Source organism: Homo sapiens, chromosome 5, assembly GCF_000001405.40.
Source record: "Homo sapiens chromosome 5, GRCh38.p14 Primary Assembly".
Lineage (NCBI taxonomy): Eukaryota > Metazoa > Chordata > Mammalia > Primates > Hominidae > Homo > Homo sapiens.
The window spans coordinates 140,008,856-140,031,628 of NC_000005.10; the positions used below are offsets into that span (position 1 = coordinate 140,008,856).

Below are 22,773 nucleotides of genomic sequence, written 5' to 3' on the forward strand. Positions count from 1 at the left end.
CTTGAGCAAGTTACTTAACCTCTCTGTGTCTCAGTTCCCCATATGAAAAATGGGATAATAGCAATAGAACCAACCTCCCAGGGTTGTTGCAAGGACTGAGTGAGAGACAAAACAATTACACAGCAAAACAATGACATAGCACTAGTGCATATTCAGTAACCATTATTTCTGGCACTTAGGAGTCATTTAGCACTCATCCTCCAATCTGATCCTATGCTTTCCCTAAAAGATCCTGGCAAAATGGCACCACAAACTTCCCTGAGCTGCATCATCAATAAAGTAGAAGCTCAGCATACTGTGAAGATTCATTGCTTTTCAAAGCCCCACAGAAGAAATCAGCAGCATCTCAGATTGTGGCTGCCTCTGCTGCTGCTGCAGAGCTGGACACATGGAATCTCTCACTGTCTTGCCTCCAGTTGAAAGAGGCCTCAGAGTCAGTGTCCTAAATCTAAGAACCAGATCTCTTCTTACCCAGAGCTAAGCAGACAGCTTTTCAAGAGTGGGCCTTTATACTCTATGTTACCCATAATATTCTAAATGGGATTCTACATACAGGAGGCACTTTAAAAAATGCTTTGACAATTATGAATAAAGCTTCTATAAACATCCTTCTGCAGGTTTTTATGTAAACATAAGTTTCCAACTCCTTTGGGAAAATACCAAAGAATGAAATTGCTCGATCTTACGGTAAGAGTAGTTTAATTTTGTAAGAAACTGCCAAACGCTCTTCCAAAGTGGCTGTACCATTTTGCATTCCCACCAACAATGAATGAGAGGATGTCCCACATCCTTGCCAGCTTTTGGTGTTGTCAGTGTTTATTCATACCTGCCAAAATTTGGAAGTAACCAAGATGTCCTTCAGTAGGTAAATGAATAAATAAACTGTGGTACATCCAGATAATGGAATATTATTCAGCACTAAAAATAAATGAGCTATCAACCCATGAAAAGACGTAGAGGAAACTTAAATGCATATTACTAAATGAAGGACGCCAATCGGAAAAGCTTACATATTACATCATTCCAACTATATGACATTCTGGAAAAGGCCAAACTATGAAAACTATAAAAAGATCAGTGGTTGCCAGGGGCTGAGGGGAGAGAGGAGTGAATGGGTGGAGCATAGAGGATTTTTAGAGCAGTCAAAAATTTCTGTATGAGGCCGGGCACAGTGGCTCACACCTGTAATCCCAACACTCTGAGAGGCCAAGGTGGGTGGATCATTTGAGGTGAGCAGTTCAAGACCAGTCTGGCCAACGTGGTGAAACCCTGTCTCTACTAAAAATACAAAAATTAGATGGGCATGGTGGCAGGTGCCTGTAATCCCAGCTACTTGGGAAACTGAGACATGAGAATTGCTTGAACCCAGGAGGTGGAGGTTGCAGTGAGCTGAGATTGTACCACTGCACTCCAGCCTGAGTGACACAGCGAGACTGTCTCAAAAAAAAAATAAATAAAATTCTGTATGATAGTATAATGAATACATGTTCTCATACACTTGTCCAAACCCATAGAATGTACAACACTGAGAGTGAAGCCTAATGTATAGACTTTGGGTGATAATGGCGTGTCAATGTAGGCTTATCAATTGTAACAACAGTAATTGTAACTTATCAATTGTAGGCTTATCAATTTTAACAACAACAATTGATAATTGGGACACTGTACATGTGGGGGGCAGGGAGTATATGGGATATCTCTGTGCTTCATCTCAATTTTGCTGTGAACCTAAAATTTCTGTTAGAAAAATAAAGTCTTAAAAAAAAAAACAGGACAGAAAATATGCTTTGAACTAAATACTTCTTTATTGTCCGTGAATAGAACTAGGAATGTGTACCTTAAGGTCACAGGTGAAGGTGACATATGCCAGGACTGAGTCCCCCTCCCATCCACAAGGGACAGTGTCTTCCTCATGCTGTATTGGGTACTTTAGTTATAGCCAGAACCCTCAGTGATCCAGGTGAAGAACTTGGAAAGCATCGGACACATCCGTGCTCCCCCACAGGCTCTCTAAGACTTGTTAACAGTTGTTTAAACATTCTTTGAATCTGGCCCCCCTTCATAAGGCCTACTGCCTTGCCTTGGTGCAGGCCCTGGTCATCTCTCCACTGGCAGTTTTTAGATTCCAGCTATAGAGGGTTCTCCTGGCTCCCTCCCACTACTGTTTGTCCTGCATACAGCTGTCAGAGACCAAAAACTAAACAGGTCGCTTTCTTATATAAGCCTTCAGGTGATCTTATCTTGTTACAAAGAGTAAAGACTAAACTTCTCAGCATAGCCTACAAGACTTTTAACAATCTGGCCACAGCCTATCTTATATCTTGCAATAGCATCTTTTGCCACTTTGGACACATAGTACATTTGGTGCCCTCAGGTTACTTCCTATGTTATAGCCTCTTCCTTAAAACTCTGTGTCAACTTTCTCTAAGTGGTTCCTCATCCCTGCCTGATAACTCCTTAATCTTCCTTCGGGATTATGGTAGGCAGCCTCTGAGATGGACTCCAGTGATCTTATCGCCTAGTACTCCTGCCCCTGTGCAATACTTTCCCTGAGTGTGGGCTGGACCTACTGACTCACTTAGAATAAATAGAATATGACAAAAGTGATGGGAGGTCAGTTCTGTGGTTGGGTTACTACAAATAGACTGTGACCTCCCTCCTCCCACCCTTTCTCTCTCTCTCTCCCTCACCTGCTCTGAGAGAAGTCAGCTGCCATATCATGAACTGCCCTACAGTGAGATCCATGTGGCAGGGAACTGATGCCTCTGGCCAACAGCCATCGAGGACCTGAAGCCTGCCAATGGCCACATGAATGAGTCTGAAAGACCACTGTTGAGCCTGAGATGACTGCATCCCTGGCTGACACCTTATTTGTAGCCTTGTGAAAGTCCCTAGACTGGAGGACTCACATCTGGATTTCTGACTGATAGAAACTATGAGAAAATAAATGTTTGTTGTTTTAACCCACTACATTTTGGGGTAATTTGTTGTGCAGCCACAAATAACTAATAAGAGGACCCAACTCAAAAATCATTAATCTATTAAACATTTCTTAATACTTTCTTCTCCCCTAGTCCATCTATACCTCTCCCATTGCACATGGGATGAATTCATACTACTTAATACAGCCCCCAAGGCCCTACATGATGATCCAATTCAGCTCACCTTCCCAAACTTCTCTTGCACCACTGCCCATGGCACCTGGGGCAATGAATCTCCTTTCAGTTACTTCAGTGTGCCCCAGTCTCATCTTTATCCCTTTGCACATACCGTTCCCCCTTTCTAAAGTACTTTTCCCTGTCTTTTTACCTCATTAACTTTGACTTGTTCTTCAAAATCCCAACTCAAATCTCTTTCCTCCAGAAAGATTCTTCAATCCCAAGGCGGGGTTTAGGTATCCTTCACTTGTGCTCCCCCTTACCTTGTACTTTTCCAATCACAGCAATTATGCCATCATGCCAAATGCTTCTGACTTGCTTATCTTCTGGGCTGGATTGTAAGCTCTTTGAGGGCAGGGCACACATCTGTCATTCACTATATACACAAAGTAATCCTGTCTTAACTTTCAGAAATTTCATTGTACTCATAAGTGGTCATTCCAATACCCTGGCTTCTCAGTTCCTTGAACTCTTCTTCTCTAGTCGTCTTGTGCTCCACCTCATTCTACCCACTGACTCTCATGCTCATTCATACTTGAGAGTCATCTCTACCCATCACCTTGTTATTACCAAGAAATGCAACCCTTCCATGATATCAAATGCATGCATCCTACTCTCCACCTACCAACTCCTACCTTCCAGCTTACACCCTCTACTGTTTGGACTCCAGCAATTCTTCTATCTTAACAGGATTTAAATTCATTGATACTACCACCTTTTTACTGATTCTCACAGTGAATATGATGTTCTTTCTTCCCTTCTCTTTCTTTCTTCCATTCATTCATGATCAATTTTTATAATAATTCTATTTCTTCATTTGGCAAAACCACAATTCTAGTCAAATCCAACCCAGTACCTGTGCCCATGCAATTGAATGTAGCTGGAGAAATGCACACAATCACCTAGACTGGTCTCACTTTAAATTCATATCCATGAGCCAAAGATGAGCCCTTAATGTGCCTGACAATCATACTGTACCTCCCTAGTTTATTCTATTCACCCACCTACTCTTCTAGATGACTACTTCACACCCTCTTTCTCCTCAAACTTCGAACATCTCCTCCCTCATACTCTCAGCTGTTGACCTTGTTTCCTACTTTACTGAGAAAATTGAAACGATCAGAAGAGAATTTCCACTGACTCCCACCACAACATATATGCATCTGTCGGCATCCATATACATAACTCTGCCTCTCTCCTGTTACTGTAGATGAATTATCCATGATCCCAGAGCCAATCCCTCTACTTGTGTGCCAGATCCCACTCTTCTACTCTAAGAAAGCATTTAGACAATCTCCTCTCACCTTCCCACACCATTAATTGCCTCCTCTCAACTGGCTCATTCCTACCAGCATATAAGCATGCGTTACTTCTATATTAAAAAATAATAACAGAGTTTCAGTTCAGAAAGACAAAAAAGTTCTGGAGATGAATGGTGGTGATGGTTGCATAACAATGTGAATGCACTTAATGCCACTGAACTGCACACTTAAAATGGTTAAAATGGTAAACTTTATATTATGTGTATTTTACCACAGTAAAAAATAATGAAATTAAAACCCCTCCAGATTCAATTTCCCCTAACAGCTACCACCCTACTCCTTTGTTCACCTTTGTAGCAAACTTGCAATAAATTCCTTCTCTTCTCTTCCATTCTCTGGTAAATCTACTTACATGAAGCTTTAACCCCCACTACTGCACTGAAACTGTTCTTGTCAAAATCCCCAATGGCATCCACATTGCCAAACCCATTGATAATGAGGTTAGTACTCATCTAACTTGACCCCTCAGCAGCACTGGAACCAGTCAACCTCTCCCTTCTAATTGGTGAACATTCTTCACTCATCTTCCAGGTCACCACATTCTCTTGGTTTTCTTCCTACCTCACTAGTCACTTTTTCTCAGTCGTCTTTTCTGGCTTCTTCTCTTCTCTCTAACCCTTTAATATTGTAGTGTCTAGGGCTCGAGTCCTTGCTCTTCTTTTCTGCTCTACCTATGTTCATTCCTTTGGTGATCTCAACTACTTTCATAGCTTTTAATACCACCTATATGCTGTTGATTTCCATATTTATACCTCCAGCCCCTATCTTACTCTCCACTTAACACATCCACACTATCCAAAACCAAACCCCTTAATTGTCCCCAAAATTTGATCCACTCAGACTCTTCCCATCTCAATGGCGATATCATGTCTCCAGTCGCTCAGGTAAAAAAGCTTGGATTTTTTTTTCCTTTTTTTCTGAGACAGAGTCTCGCTCTGTTGCCCAGGCTACAGTGTAGTGGTGAAATCTCGGTTCACAGCAACTTCTGCCTCCTGGGTTCAAGCATTTCTCGTGCCTCAGTCTCTCAAGTAGCTATAACTACAGGCATGCACCACCATGCCCAGATAATTTTTGTATGTTTTGTAGAGATGGGGTTTTGCCATGTTGCCCAGGCTGGTCTCAAACTCCTGAGCTCAAGCAATTCGCCCGTCTCAGCCTCCCAAAGTGCCGGGATTACAGGCATGAGCCACAGTGCCCCGCCTGGATTCATTTTTTTACTCCTCCTTTTCTGTCTCACTCTATATTTTATCTATCAGGAAGTCTTTTGGGCCTTATCTGTTAAAAATATCTACAATCCAGCCTCTTCTCATCCCCTCTTTCACAACTACAATACACCAAGCCACCACCATGTCTCACCAGATTTCTTCAGTGGCTACCTAACTGGTTTCCCTGCTTTCACTCTTGCTCCTAAATGTCTATTCTCAACATAGCACACTTTGTGATCCCTTTCAAATAAGTAAAATTATATTACTCCTCTGCTCAAACCCTCCAGCAGATCCTTTTTACACTGAAATAAAAGGCCAAGTCTTCACAAAGGCCCACAAGGCCCTATTTGATCTGGCACCACTGCTGCTCTAAACTCCGCTCATTCTACTGTAGCCATATGGGCCTTTTTGCTGTTCCCCAAACATGCCAGGCATGCTTCCACCTTAGGGAGAACTCCCTCTGCCTGAAATTCCTTTCACCATGATATCTACCTGCCTAGCTCCCTTACCTCCTTCCAGTTCTCTGCTCTAATGTCACGTTGTAATTTAGGTCTACCATAACCACTCTATTTAAAATTGCAATCCACCCCTCTGCACTCCCATTACCTCCCTCCATTTTTTTTTCTTATAATATTTATAACTTTCTAAATATTATCTAATTTGCTTATTTATTATGTATATTATTGGTCGCTTACTACCAGAAAGTAAATTCCATGAGGGCAGAGATTTCTGTCTTCTCAATATTCCAAGCACCTGGAAGAAGTTTTAATATATAGGAGGAACTCAAATATTACTCAATGAATGGATAAGCCCAATGTAATGCCTAGCACATGATAGATGCCTACAAAATATCTTATATATGAATGAATGGAGAAATAAATGGTCTATTTATCACTAGACTGTGAGTGTCCCATGGGCAGGGATGTGACATATTCATCTTTGTGTCCCCAGTACCCAAGACATTAACGGAGATTCCATAAGTGTTGGTTAATTAAAAGAAAAAAACCTGAAAATGAATGAGGTAGGACTGGATCTGTGCGGTACCAGCATTCTAGGGTCCACGTCTAAGTATCCTGTTTCCTGCATGGCCACTCCCAGCCTGGAGCTTTCCATTTCTGGATCTTTCAGGATATAATTCTCAATTACTAGAAAGAAGTGGTCCAGTAAACACAATGGAGGAAGGGATGCCTCACTCAGGGAGGGCTTCCCTGCAGGCTTTAACCAAGGCTTCAGCATCTGACTGCACAGGTAGAGTTTCCAGGTGGGCACACGGTGATCTCAAAAGTAACAGATGCAAAACAGGCTCCCAGATGCTTTAGCTGTTACGTCAGGTTTCCAGGCCCCAAATTCTAGTAACCCAGAAACTGGAAAATCAAGTTACTTCAACAAACACATCCCTTGTGTTTTTCTTTCAAGGCGCCACATCTCAATAGGTATGGCTGGCATTGGCTCAGACACCTTTGTAGCCCATCATTCATTCTACACTGGGGAGGAAGGGAGTAAAATGGCTCCTTATGCCGAAGTTATGGGATAGGCTGGCTCCTACTTGCCACGTCCTCAAGTTAGGGAGGAAGCAACAGGCCTTCCTGACTCCAGAGCCCTGCTTTCAACTGGAGAACATAGAGGTTGTCACTTGTAGGAGAGGCAGAAGGGGTGGTGGTGCAGGAGAGCTTGTGTGAATCTGGAAGTCAGGGAGAGGAGTTGTAACTCTGCTACTGTCCAATTCTATAACCTTGGGGCAAATGATTTCACTCTCAGGGCCTTAGTTTTCTCAATTTGAAACTAAAATTTTGGACCAGATAATTTAACTATACGATTCTAATAAAACTGAATTATTATTGACCTCTCTAAATCAATAGTTTGGGAACATAGCATTGTCTGCAATACACTTGCCTGAACATTCATCTTGACTCTCTCCTCAGTTCAGCTGTCATTCATTCATAAAATTAAACATATCCTAGTGTCAACTACGTGCCAGGCATTGTGCTAGGGCTGGTATACAGCACTGAATATGACAGAACAGTCTCTGCCCTCAGGAGCTTATAGGGAGACATCAAACGATTTTTTAGTTACTACCATAAATAAGAGTTTGAAAGACGTGGAAGTGATAGTGGCACTATGTGAACAGATGTAGCACATCTATGGCTTCGTCTGGGATTCTAGAAAAACCTCCTTAAGGAAGTAACATCTGAGCTGAGCTCGGAAGGGCAGAGAGCAGTGAACTAGGTGAGGAGGAGGAAGAGCATCTCGGAGAGAGGGGACAACACGTACAACTGGCCTGCAGCGTGGTCATCTCATGGCAAGGCTGCTGTGGCCAAGGGTGGAGTGTGGAGCAGGGGGCAGAGATGTTGCTGATGAAGTCAGCACAGGTGAGATCACACAGGGCCTTGGAGGCCACGTGAGGGTTTTGTTGTAATATATGCTAAAGAGATTGGAGCAGAGTAGGAGTGGCAGACTTAAATGTGATTGGTCTTGGGTTTTTAAAAGCTCACTATGTGGAGAATGAACTCCAAGAGCCACAAGTCAATATAAAAAGACCAGCTATGAAGCAAATACAGTAAAACAGATGAAAGATGATCAGTATTGACATGGGTGATGTTAGTAAAAAGCAGATAGACTCCAGAAAGATTTAGGAAGTAAAAGTGATAAGATGTGGGGAGTGGGTAAGAAAGAAGGGAACACAAAGTGCAACTTAAGTGGTTAGATGAGGGAACACTGTTAGAGGACCAAGTTTGGAAAGGGGGTGAGAGTTTCACTGGGGCATGTCCAGTTTGTGATATCTATGAGATATCAGGTAGAGAAGATGAGTTAGAAGGTGAATATATGAATCTGAAGTGAAAAGGTCTCCAACTACAGACCTCTCCAACAACTCCGTAGTTGGAGACCATATTTTAAAATTCTGTAGACAGGAAAGAGCTAAAAAACAGAGAATGGAAGAAAACCTCAGAGAGAAAGGAGGACAACTAAGGAGGTAACATAATGGAAGCCAAGGGAACAGTACATTTCAAAAAGTCAGGATTAGCCAACAGTGTCAAAATGCTGACAGGTGAAATAATATGGGCAATGAAACATGTACATTAGGGTCAGGAACTAGAAGTTCACTTAGAGCAGTTTCGATGGAGTCGGAGATGGTAGAGCAGACAAATGCATATGAGAAGAGAAGAGGTCATGATATAGAGACAAGAGGTACGGGCTGTTCTTTCAAGGAGATTGGTTGCGAAAGAGAAGAGAAAGATAGGTAGTAATTTAAGATGGGAGAGACGTGAGTATGATGAAAGATGAATAGAAAGGACTCAGTAGAGACGAAGAGACAGAACGTGCAGTAGAGAGAAGGAAAAGTCAGTGGTGTTAGGCTCCTGAGAAGGTGAGAAGGGATGGACCACAGGACATAGTGGGAGGACTGGCCTCAGACTAGGGACATCTGTTGCATCAGAGGGGAGGAAGAGAGGACCGATAAGTATAAAGGTCAGTTTGCATTCATCCCTCCAAACATGCAAAGTCATAAAGTTAGCTCTTCCAATTTTCCCAAGAAAAACCTCAAAATCTACAGGCCCATGTGTTCTTGGTGGGCAATGTAGATCCCAGGAAGCAAACAACCTCTACAGGCCCTATCTTGACCCCTGGTAGAAAACTACACTCCGTTCTCTGCAAAGCTCCTGAGTCAGAACAAGATAAAATGGGAGCTGCTGCAAGCTGAGCTATCCACAGGTCATGTGATAGGATCTCTGGGAGATGGCCCGGCATAACCAGGTCAAATGTGGGGACGTGATTGAAAACAGCAATGAAGTAGAAGAGAGGTCTCAAAGTGCCAGCCTGCAGACGAGGGATGGGTGTGTTAGCAGGGAAAAGCTGCCTCACCACTCCTTCGTATGGTAACTTTAGAAGAGGAAAACGGAGGCACAGCATCGCTGCCTGACACAACGGTATCTGATTTAATGCTGTAGTCCATAGTGAAATGCCACCCACATCATTGCCCAGCCACCTAACTGATAGCTTCCAAAGCCTGGAATCGAGGGCAGTTTCTCCAATTTACTATCTCATAGCCGTGGCACTTGACTCTAGGATGAGAATTCATCAGCATCTCTTAGCCCAACTGCAAAAACAGCACTAATACATAGAGATTTAAGAGGACAACAAGCGCATGCCAAGGTGCCAAGGACGCAGACGACCAACAGATGCTGCCAAATCATAGGTCAGCGCTTGACTCCTGCAGATCCAGACCAACACCACCATCCCCAATCCAGATCCTGCTCCTGAGCATGCTCTCTTTTCAAACCTTTGAGGCACTCCTTTCTCGGACCACAGAGGAAATACTCATTTACAGTGCCAGTGTTTCTAACAAAAGCTCATCCTCAAGGGAAAATCAGCAGAAAAGCTGAATTCTGAATGCAGAAGAAATGTAGAGGGACCCTACTTAGAATGCTGCCTCCTAGGTCCATATTATCCAAAGTTCCCAAAGCACAGGGTAAGACAGAAGGAGAAGAAAAGGCAGGGAATCACGGGGAGGTGATAACTAACACTTAGCAGGCTGCCTATAATAAGCAAATGACATAAGAAAAATAAACACAGCTCTGGGGAGAGGTGCTGCCAGTGCTGCCCTAGCAGGCCCAAGGACTCAAGGGAGTCATGCTGGGCTAGAAACCCGGTTATTTCTAGGGCACCAAGCAGCATTGACCTGAATCAGAAGCCACTGGAAGCAGGGGCCACAGAAGGGCCAATCAGAGCCTGAAAAACACAGCCCAGTTCCAACAAGGGGGCCTTGGTCACTCCATAACCCCAGAGTTGGGGACAGGGAAAGAAACCACAGAACCCTTCAAAGAACCAAGTTCAATCATCTCTTGAGCCTCCACATTAGACAGGAGGGAACAACTGGGTAATTCGTAAGAGCAAATAATCCCCTTATCAGTCCTGTTTGTTTTCAGACTGGCTCTTCCTAGAAAGCATGGGTTCAGGCTGCTCCGAGTGCAGTGGTGTTTACAACTAATGCATCACAACCAGTTACAGAATTCTTTATCCCTTCTCCATGCCACTGCTTTCCTTGGCCAGCCTTAAAAATAATTTTTTTTAAGAAAGTATAAGTTCAAATTAGCTCCATTATAACTCCTGTGACAAGCCTGGAACTCTCCTAATTGTTTTGAGCCTCAGGTTCTTAGATGCAAAATTGGAAAGGGAGGGCCCACCTCCCTAGGTTGTTGTGAGACTCAAATAAGTAATGTCTATAGAAGTACATGCTCAATAAATGTGAGTGTCTCTTTCTTACCCCTCTTTGGGGCACAATTTTGGCTCACTGCAACCTCAGCCTCCTGGATTAAAACAATTCTCCTGCCTCATCTCCCAAGTAGCTGGGATTACAGGCACCTACCTCCACGCCCGGCTAATTTTTGGCATTTTTTAGTAGAGACAGGGTTTCACCATGTTGGCCAGGCTGGTCTCAAACTCCTGATCTCAGATGTCCATCCGCCTCAGCCTCCCAAAGTGCTGGGATTACAGGCATGAGCCACCATGCCCAGCTGGGATTTATATTCTTAATTTTAAATTTTTCATCTGTATACTCTGAACGTACAGCAAGAGGACAGAGGATTAGTGGCTCAGAAGTCTCCTTGCTATTCAACTCAAAAGGTGGAAAGTCCACACCCAGAGAATCAATAAAAGACTGAAACAATAAGAATTGGTACTAAGTAAGCAGCTCTGGATTTGTAGTAGTCAAATCTGAAGCACGTTCAAAAAGTGAAAAGAAACAAGTACACACTTCTTTGGTTAATTCATCCTAAAGAAAAGCTTTGTGAATAGCTGATTTCTTGTCCTGCCACTTGGAGGGTTTATGTTATGGATTTCCAGGACAGAGGTATGAGACCCAGCTCCTCAACTTCTAACACCTCAAAGCCCAATGCAGTCAAACCCAGCATAACATAAACTGTTAACCAAAATGCATCTCACCTTCCACTTTTAAAAGGAAAAGGAATGATGCCAAAATGTCATTAGGGATTTTCTAATCAATAGAAAAGATATGTCCCAAGATCCGGACACATATGTTCAAGCTAACCTTTTGCTTCCAGAGATCTGTGCAATGAGAAAGAATGACCAGAACACACTGAATGATGCTTAAAGACAGACTGAGTCTTACACTTACTGAAGCAGCAAAAGCACCACTGCATTTTAGCAAGATCGTCTCCTAGCAAAGGTTGAGAAAGAAATAGCTTTTCATGTAGAAAAAAGAAGAAAAGAAAGTTTGCATACGTAGCCCACCTGCCTCAGAAAAGAGTTAGTTTATGTCATCACATCCTCTATGCCATCATTTATAAAGCACAGACAAATTTCAGAGATGTTCATGTGTGGGGGTGGAGAGTAGGGTGAGTACATCTCGGAGCCAATGAAGTAGGACATGCCTGCCAGAAGAAATACTCTATCCCGTGTCTCAAACTCCTACTCTGTGGCCTTGCCCTTTAAGTCCTTGGCAGAAAGACTGTGAGTAGGTTATGCAAAAGGCACTCTCAGAGCATTAATCTTTGAGTGAGCAAACTGGTTCACAGTTGTAATAATAACAACAGCATATTTTCATACAGCCCTTGGCAGTCTTAAAGCACTTCCACAGACATCATCTCCTCTGATCCTCACAATATCCCTGGTAGGTAAGAAAAGCAAATATCATTAGCTCTATTTTATTGTTAACAAAACAGGCTCAAAAAGGTCAGTTGTCCCAAGGTCACAGAGCCAGTAAGTGACAAATGGAGTTTAAACTGACATCTCTGTCTCTCTCTGCTAGGTCTGTGCTTTCTGTTTTATGAGACAAAGTCTGAGGTTAGGACTATTTCAGCAGGTCCAATGAAAAATTCCATAAGTAATGCCTGACCTCTGAATTTTGAAGTTCTGCTTCTACTCCCCACTGTTTTGCTAGGAATGGTCCTTTAAGGCCTAAGGTGGGTATGGAACACTGGAATGGACCATACTTTTCCTATGCCCTGGAAGTCACTGTCCATGACCTAAGAGAGAGCAATCTCAGCACGTTCATGTCATACTACACAAAGCACTCAGGATTCAATAAAATATCACCTCTGCAACAACAACATGAGCATGCCCTACTATTTTATTAATGCCTTCTTGAGTTCAGACAGAAGGGCCATGGGATTCCTGAATACACAGGCAACAAGGACAATGAGAACTTGATTCACCTCTGGTGGCAGGGAGACCTCTGAAGAGCAAAGGTAGAGAGTCAGAAATGGTCTCCCAGCCTCAGCGAGGAACACAACGCATGAAACAAGCTAATAAGCCTTTCTGTAGGGAATATTAAGTTCATCCTGAAGAATAGCTTAGATATCTGCATGCACAAAAGAAGGCTCCATCCCCAGCCCTCGGTTCTTTCCTTCCTACAGTCAGACCTCCAGGAGTCCTCTGCCCTTACAGAATCAACAATCCCTTCCTTATTTGTTTGCCTGGACTTCTAATTCTACATCTCCAGTCCAATCCTCTCACTTAGGCTCCTGCTTTCTCTCAAGGCAGTCCCAGCCTTCTCTCTTACTGCTTCTCCAACTCATACTTTATGCTGCAGCCTAACTAGAACCACCTGTCATCCTAGTTCAGGTTTGCAGAACTAGGTACTGAACTAGGCATTGTACAGTGTGCTGGTCCCAAAACATGTTTGAGCTTTCTTTCTTCGTGATTTTATTCAAGCTTTTATGTCTACCAAGAATGACCTGCCCCTACTACCCACTACCAAAATCCAACTTGACCCATCTTTCAGGGTCTAGCAATAATTCCATCTCCTCCTGGAAGTCTTTTCTGATATCCCTAAATACATATTTGTCCTCCCTCTCTCCTTCCTTATGTGCTACTGTTTCTTATAGTACATGATTTAGTACCCTTATGATTTCACCATTTGCCATTTCCTCATTAGCCCTTTACAAGCTTTTTAATGCTATGTCCATGTTGTACTCATCTTTACCTTTCATGCAAAGGGCTCTGCACAAAGAAAGCATCCAATAAACATTTGATCTACTATCTACCATATTTCTGCTCAGTCTTCTATCAACAAGAGGAAGTCTAGCATAGATGGCCTGGGTTCAGAATCCTGGCTCTCCTATTACAGCTTTGTGATCTTGGGAAAATTATTAACCTCTTTATACTTGAGTTTTCCCCTTTGTAATAAAGATGATACTAACAGTATTTATTTTTATATGATTATTATGGGAACTAAAATGAGTCAACATTTATAAAGTGTTTAGAACAGTGCCAAGTACGTATTAAGTGTCACATAAGTATTTGTTAAGTAAATAAAATAATTGACAAATGCATCATTTTCCTTCTTAAAATTGCTTTTCCTCATAATTTCTCCATTTTTGTTAATGGTGCTACTATTCTTCCCAGCTTTCCAAGATCAAAACCTTGACCCTTTTTTCTCCTTCATGCCTGCTACTCAGCTCATCACCAAGTCTCACAGATTCATGAAAGACACTGCCTAGTTTACCTGCCTCTTCCCCCAGTTTCCCTGGCTTCTAGGACTTTATAACCCCCTCATTGATCTCCAGAACATGCACCTCTACCCAACTCCAGTCCAGTATGAATTGTGTATACAAAGTATTTGCAAACATTCCTCTCTTTCTATCATATCCCTGCTCCAATACCTACAATGGCAACCTATCACCTCCAGAACCAAGTCCAAATTCCTTTGTCTGTCTCTACAGATCCTCTTTAATCTGGTCCTGCCCTCCTTTCCTAATCTTATCTCCCCTATATCTCTACCCCAACCATGCTAATCTCCTTGTGGTCCTGTAAAGACATCTGCTTGTTTCTACCTCTGCTGACATTGTCCTTTTGGCCTAGCACCCTATCCCCTATCTGCCTAAATCCTCCAAATCTATTCATTCAAGGCTAACCTCCAGTCCTAACTCTGTACTAGAAAATGTCCAGCCCTAATTAATCTTCTCGTTCTCTGAATCCTATAGTCTATTTTACCTTTTTGCAATTATTATATTTTGCTTTATGTCACTTGCTACTGATTCATGTGAGTTTAATATCCCCAAATGGACTGTAAACCTCTCAAGATCAAGATATATGATTACTAGACCTCCTTAGCATCCTTCAAAGAAAATAACCAATCAAGGAGCTTAAAAGAATCTCTTAACCAATATTTGATTTTGAACTTGCCTCTTACTTCCTTTTGGAGTCAGGAAGTGGAAAGAATGGGACTGCACACCCATCTAGCTGATCCTATATGCTGTGATCACAGATGGTGTGGAAACCCTACCTGGGGGATTTGCTATAGCCAAAAAGCCTGTTCTTTCTGTTGACAAACGCCAACAATCTCTGTAATCTAGGTTGCCATATGGTTCGCCCAGCCCTGTAGCAAAATTGGTTTCTCGGGAATATCAAAGAGACCAAGCAGGCCAAGTCTTCTATCTATGGAGTGCAGAGAGGTCACCTTGAGCTGACCCTACCAAAAACAGGAAGGCGCAGGACCTCCAAGGACAAGCCAAAGGTCAAACAGACGTAAAACTGACATCCCCTGAGAGACCTGTCAACTGAATGTACCCCTTCTCTGGAATCCAGAAACAGGCTCCCTCCCCCAAGACTCCTGAGACTACCCTAGAGGAACCCAGCTGGGCAGGGCAGAGGGACGAGGTTACCCTATCCTCACTGTATGGAGAGAGATGCCCAAAGTCATAGTTTTATTTTTGTTTTCATAGTATCTGGTCCTGAGGGTTACTAACAGAGTAAAACAATTTTTTTTTTTTTTTTGAGACGGAGTCTCGCTTTGTCGCCCAGGCTGGAGTGCAGTGGCGCGATCTCAGCTCACTACAAGCTCCGCCTCCCGGGTTCACGTCATTCTCCTGCCTCAGCCTCCAGAGTAGCTGGGACTACAGGCGCCCGCCACTAGACCCGGCTAAGTTTTTGTAATTTTTAGTAGAGACGGGGTTTCACTGTGTTAGCCAGGATGGTCTCGATCTCCTGACCTCGTGATCCGCCCGCCTCGGCCTCCCAGAGTGCTGGGATTACAGGCGTGAGCCACCGCCCCCGGCCAGAGTAAAGTGATTTTATCACCAAGCCAGTTGTCCTAATTTGGGAGGGACGATCCTCATTTTTTGATCAACTCTTCATCATTTCCCCACGCTCCCTCCTTTGTGGATTTCAAAGGCAGGAGGAGGTCAGTCCCCCATTATCTTCCTAAATTGCCCTAACCCCTCCCATCCAATTATCACAATCACAGACTTATGGAAGCGGCTCGGGTTTGAGACTCAGAAGGAAATACAGGGGAAGTCCAGCTTCAAGAAAGGAATTCAACATTTGAGACATCTAGATTGTCTCTCAACCCAGGATTTTGCTAAACTTTTCTAAGAAAAACTCTAAACCCATGCAGTCTCTATATTTTGAGGCTATTTTTATGCCACTTACCTAACAGGCTCAAACACTCTCTTCACAAGCTCTCACAGCTGAAGAAGAGACTACAATTTGCTGAAAACAAAAGCCCAGAATGTAAGTACAACCTGCTCAAGGCCATACAGAAAGCAGTGGACTGAGGCTGAACCCAGGGAGGCTGATTTCCAGGAAGGACTTTCATTATTTCAAAACGAAAAAAACCCCTGACAAGGCCTGATTAGTACCCTCTTCCTCAACTAAACACACATAGCCCAACACTCCTCTGGGCCACCTAAAAGCAGCTGCTGTCACTTCTGCTTGCTGGATTCAGACTGCAATTCTGCCATTCCTTTTCAACAGTCATGCTGTGCACATACCTGCCATCTCTGTAACACAGCAGAAGGCTCTAAGTATCAAGAGGGCCCTGGATAAATCACTTATGATAAATAAGCCTCGATTCTGAACCAGCTTTCCAGGCTATGTTCCTTGGGCATGGCACATGTAGGTACACTGCAGAGTCACACAGAAGAAACTGTTTCTTCACTCATTTTTCCCTCAGTTAATGTTTATTGAGCGCCTATTACGCACCAAGTACCATGAAGTTGATCGAGATACAGTAGTATAAAAAACAGCCATATTCTCCAATCTTGAATAATCTTTTCAAGGTGCTTCCCATAGAAGCTAATAAAGCACAGACTCAAATCCACATATCAGAGATTTGGCTTTTTTTCTAAAGTAACTGTCTCAATTTACTGCCTTCATATTTCTACCAATATATACATACCTAAGGTCAGTTTCCTTCCATGAGCCAGATGCTTATTCCCAATGGCCAGTTTTAATTCCAAGATAAAATCCTAAGGTCATTCTCTTCAAGTCACCCAGCAGTTGCTGGTTAACTTACATAAGGCACAAAAAGATAAAGAAGATACATCTTTTGCTGCAGCTCCATCTTGCACTCAGGAAGCTCACAGTCTGGAGGACCGCACACACACTTGCCCTCCTCCCCCATCCGACTATGCCAAGTGATAGACTAGGCCTTTATGTTTACAGAAGAGCAATGAACTGCTACAGAAACACAGGAGGCCATGATTCATTCCGACTGAGGGGATCAGAAAAAGCTTTGAGGAGAAGTGGAATCTCAGCTAAGCCCAGAAGGAAGAGGAGGCAAGAAACTGACTGAGAAGAGGAAATGGAAAGGCATACTAAGCCAAGGAAACAGAATGAGCAAAAGCACTAAAGGATACAAATGTAAAATTTGTTTGAAATTGTCAAGTAGATCATTTTAGCTATGGCAAAGAGTAAGTGTGAAAGAGTGGACTGAAGGATCACAGATAGGTAGGGGCCAAATTGTGGAAGGTCTTGCATGCCCTGTGAAGAAGTTGCTCTTTATGCCACAGGAAATAGGAAGCTATTGAAGATTTTGGGGTTGGGAAGAGATAATTACTCTGTTTTAGAAAGTGAATTCTAGCAATAGATAATAGAAGAGAACAGAGAGTCTGAAACTAGGGAATTCCATTTACAGCCGCTAAGGCAGGCTAGGTGAGATGTAAGTATCCAACTAGAAGCCAGGCACAGTGGCACATGACTGCAGGCCCAGCTACTTGGGAGGCTGAGGTGGGAGGATTGCTCAAGCCCACGAGGTCCAAGCTGTAGTATGCTATTATCACACCTGTGAACAGCCACCGTACTCCAGCCTAGGCAACACAGTAAGATCTCTTCTCCAGAAAAAAAAGAAAAGAAAAGAAAAGAAAGAAAGAAAATAAAAGTTCCAACTAGAGCATCATGAATGAAAAGAATTGGATTGGGGAGACTTTGCAGTAGTAAAAACTGTCATGACTCGTCAATGTCCTCTATACAGAGGATAAGAGTGAAAAAAGAGTCAAAGATGATTTTGACATTTCTAACAGCTTGGAAGACTAGATAAATGCTGTTATTTAGGATAGGAGTGTCCTAAACATAACAGGGTATGGCAAGAAGATATTGAGCTCAGTTTGAGAATTTTTGAATTATATCTTTTGTTAAGACCCCGGAAAGATCAAAGGCAATGCCTCGAAGAATGTTTGAGACAAACAAAAGTCCTTCCGTGGGTCTTTTTTGTTTTTGTTTTTGAGACAGGGTTTCACTCTGTCCCCCAGGCTAGAGTGCAGTGGTGCAATCACAGCTCACTGCAGCCTCAACCTCCCAGACTCAAGTGAGCCTCCTGCCTCAGCCTCTAGAGTAGCTGAGACCACAGGCATGCTCCACTATGCCTGGCTAATTTCAAAAAAAAAAATTGTAGAGATGAGGTCTCCATATGTTGCCCAAGCTGGTCTCAAACTCCTGGGTTCAAGCAATCCACCTGCCCTGGCCTCCCAAAGTACTGGGACTACAGGCATGAGCCACTGCACCAGGCCTCTCCATAGATCTTAAGAATGTGCCCCACAGATCCTTTCTATTAAATAATAGGAATTCTACAAATCTTAAAGAGCATTATCCCACTGCAGCTTCAGAGGGAACTCAAAGTAGAGAAGAGCTTATGTTAAGAAGATTCGTGGGCGTGGCTTTTGTCTAAGGCAGTAAACCCCAATAGGATTCACCGGAAAAACCATACACTTTTTAAAAGAAGTATATAGTAGTCCCCCCTTATCTATGGTTTCACTTTCCACGGTTTAATACAATAGGATATTTTGAGAGAGAGACCACATTCACATAACTTTTATTACAGTATATATTGTTATAATTGTTCTGTTATTATTATGTGTTGTTAATCTCTTACTGTGCCTAATTTATAAATTAAACTTTATCATATGTATGTATGTGTAGGAAAAACATAGTACATATAAGGCCTAGTACTATCTGTGGTTTCGCACATCCACTGGGGGTGGAACATATCCCGCATGGATTGGGGGGACTACTATACTAGCAGGAACATCACCAGCTTGGATGAAAAGGGACATCTACAAGTAGGAAGCAGGCTGAGAAAACTGCTTAGCTGCAAACACAGGCTACATGTTATGGGAAAAAAAGAGTAATTCAGAGGACAGAACCAGGAGCCACAGGGTAGAACAACAAACAGTGAAGAATCATTCCCAGGCAATAGGACTGAGCCCTACTCACATGCCAGGCTGGATTTCAAAACTGCTAGGGACTAGCGACTAATGTTGCCCTCCTTTCTAAATGGAATCATCTACTGTAGATAGAAAATTAAAGAGACATGACAACTAAATGTGATGTAGGATTCTAGATTGGGTCCTGGACCAGGAAAAGGCCATTAGTAAGACAACTGGCAAAATTTCAATAAGGTCTATAGATTAGCTAATAGTATTGCATCCGTACTATTAATGTCCTGGTTTTAATCATTTTACGTGTTGTGTCATTTGAGGAAGCTAGGCAAAGAGTATTTAGGAACTCTGTACTATTTTTGCAACTTTCTTGTATTATAATAAGTCTGAAATTATTTCAAAATCTGAAGAAAAAAATAAAAATAGTCATTTTAAAATGTAAGTGTTACCAATTTTTTAAAACAGGCATCTGTAGTAGTTATCCCAAATCTATCCCAGTGTTGTATTTGGTGTGGAGGACAGATAACTTGTCTCTTGAGTTCACAGTCTTCAGATCAAGAGGAGCAGTACTCGAGTTGCTATACCCACGGAACTGCATTGAGGAGTCTCAACTACACATAGACCTGATTGAGACGATGAGACCCTGGCTCCTGAACCTGAGCCTGATGCCATAATAGATGACACATTGGCCAGGGGGCCAGGGGGAGGTTTTGGGTGGAGATGAGTATATTTTTCATGTGTGAGGAATATAAATAATTTGTGCCAGAGGTCAAACTGTAATGTCCACAAATTCTTTGACCGTCCTTCCACCAAAAGGTGGTGTGTAATTCTCCTCCCCTTGAATCTGGTCAGGTCTTAGTAACTCTCTTCTAACAAGCAGAGTGTGGTGGATGTGATGCTATGTGACTTCTGAAGCTAGACCCTAAGAGACAATAGAGCTTTTATCTGGCCCTCTCTTGGGATGCTTATTCCTGGGCCTAGCCATGGTACTGTGAGGAAACCCAGGCAAGGTCCTTGGTCCTCAGACCCGGCTACACTCCCAGATGAAATTCCAGCCAGAATTATATGCTTGACATGTCAGAGAAGAAACTTTGAAATGACCTTGTCGCAACTAGTGTCTGACTGTTCAGCCACCATCTGACTAAAATACATGAAAGATACTAAACCTCCTAGCTGAGCCCCTCAATTCCCAGGACTGTGAGAGATTATAACAAATAACTGTTGCTGTGTTAAGCTATTCCATTTTGGGGTGTTTTGCCATACCACAATCGATAACTGCCATAGGCAGGTAGAAACTGGGACTCAAAAAAATTAAGGGACTTTTCCCAAGTTCACACAGCGAGTAAGAAACACAGTCAGGAACAGAGTCACATACCCATCCGAATCAAAAGCCATTCTCTTTCCACTAATGACAGACATGACAGTAATTGCAGCTAGCCTGCATTGAATGTTTTCTATAAGAAGGCACTGTTCTCTAAGCACTTCATGTGGAGTAACTCACCAAATGTTCATCACAATGCTATAAGGTAGGTATTACTGTGAGCCCCATAATATAGTTGGGAAACCTGAGGCACAAAGAGGTTCATTAATTTTCCCCAGGTTATCCAGCTAGTAAGTCACAGAGTAAGGACTCGCCTTTAAAAGTCAGCTCCAGGCTGAGGCAGGAGAATTGCTTGAATCTGGAAGGCGGAGGTTGCAGTGAGCTGAGATCGTACCACTGCACTCCAGCCTGGGTGACAGAGCAAGACTCTGTCTCAAAAAAAAAAAAAAAAGCTCCAGCGTGCAGCTGTAACCATTCTGCTATGAACAGATGAAATCTTCAAATCAGATTTCATAAATTGAGAGGAGAACCAAGGACAACCCCTAAGGGACTGTACCCTCTACAAAGTGGTCAAAAGAAGACATGGTGATTGAATGACCTGAGAAAGAAGGGAGAGGGGAAAGAGGTGTGTCAGAAAACCAAACACTATGACAGCATTCCTGGAGGAACCCATGGCAGGATCCACAAACCAGCTTCAAATTTTAAGGCTGACTGGGTCAACTGCAAGCCAACCATAAGGCTCCCCTCCCAAAGCCACATTGCTAGTAGCAAACTCCTCCACAGAAAGTAATCTTTGAACCCTAGAATGGAGAGTTATGTCATTGGATTACTCCCTGAGTCATGTGGACAGAGCAGCACTATTGATCGCCCTTTTCTCCCTCTTACAATGACAACACTCACTCCTACTCTGGAAGGATTAGGCTGTTATTTAACTTCAGACATGAGAAAAGTAAACTCTTATACTTATAAAAATATATATGGTTCATGACCTTGACCCAAGGAAGCCCATCAAACCCACTGGGACTCTTTACCAACTCAATGTTTTCTTTTAGACAGAGCTCCCTAGGATGCACTAGTTTTAGGTGATCCCTTTACAGAACTAATCAAAACCAATGCCTTTAACTTTTTTACCTCTGTACGACAAGCTCTGGATGTAAGGCAGACCATTCACCAGAGGCCCTGAGGCTGTAACACCACACAGGAGAAGCGCAAAGCCCACATTGTCTGTGGGCATAGGTGAAGCAGGGGCAAGCCTGGCAGAGGTGAAAACAGCACTTCCAAGGGAACCAGTCTCAGCTCCAGCTCCCGCTTGCCCTTTCAGTTGACTGAGTGTAAACCATACACAGTGGAAACCTACTCAGATAATTTACACAGTAAGAAACAAATACGGAAAGCTCACTTCCAATCTGGGAGCCACCCATGTGCCTCCCTTCAACTTACAAATTAGATTCTTTCCAGCAGAAAGACCTTTCTCCTTTCTCTCAGAGGTGGTGGTGTCTGGCTCTGCCCAGATGGTAATACTACTTGGCTCTACATGGTGGGATTTTCTTAGCATTGGCCTGAATCACCTGGGCTGAGCTCTGGAGGTGCCATCTGAAAGGAATCTCTGTCAGTACTTGGCCAAGACAACTTAATGTATATGTTACTAAGAGACCAGTGAATGTTACTAGCCTTTTTGGAGAAAGGATTCCTTTTGAAAATGAGACCTAGAATTATGGAAGATGACTTCTGGAAAAAAAAACTCCATGTTATGTCCAAAAGAATCCAACCTAAGGGAAACTCAGCCAGATTTACTGGATTTGGTCCCACCCTCATCCTATCCCAGGATTATGCCTACCTCCCCATTAGGCCTGTCAGACCTGAGGTCTAAGGAAGAGTTGGGAATTTTATACCAAAAATTTCTGGAAATTTTCCTGATTCTTGACAATGGGGGCTGAAGAACGGATGTTACATTCAGAGAAGAGCAATTCTATCAGCAGGCCTAAGCAGAAAGGAAGGAAGCCAGGTGGGATGAAGTGGGAGAGGTGAAGCCTCAGGTAAGAGAGGGTCAGAAGTAAAACCCATACAAACAGACTGTGAAAAAGAAACCAACCAACAGTAAGCAGTCTGACAGGCTGTCTTTGGAAGTCCCAGAGTCCTTTAAAAGAAACTCTTCACTTATGGGCCTTGGATTCAGCCTGTAACAACCGGATCCTGTAATGGTCTGAGACTCCTTTCTTTCTTTTAAAAAAATTTTTATTTTCACTATTTTTCCCCTAAAATCAAATCAACCAATAACAATGCTAGAAAAGTTGCCCTGGATGCAGCCTTGCTGTTTTCTCTCATCCAGAGACAGGGATTCAGACATGACAGATCATCTGCTTAATCACTACCTGT

General features: G+C 42.9%; 1 protein-coding gene across 7 annotated transcripts in view, besides 1 other annotated feature; it reads right to left on the minus strand.

Annotated features, from left to right (window-relative positions):
* The window catches only part of NRG2 (neuregulin 2), a 196,519-nt gene that overhangs the window by 162,075 nt on the left and 11,671 nt on the right, over positions 1–22,773 (minus strand). The gene's annotated exons all lie outside the window — the stretch shown is intronic.
* Positions 2,921–2,990: an enhancer, noted in NCBI's record as "active region_23257". NCBI's record gives its function as "activates an Ori minimal core promoter by ATAC-STARR-seq in GM12878 lymphoblastoid cells {active_cell/tissue: GM12878}" and the evidence as "EXISTENCE:reporter gene assay evidence [ECO:0000049][PMID:35858748]".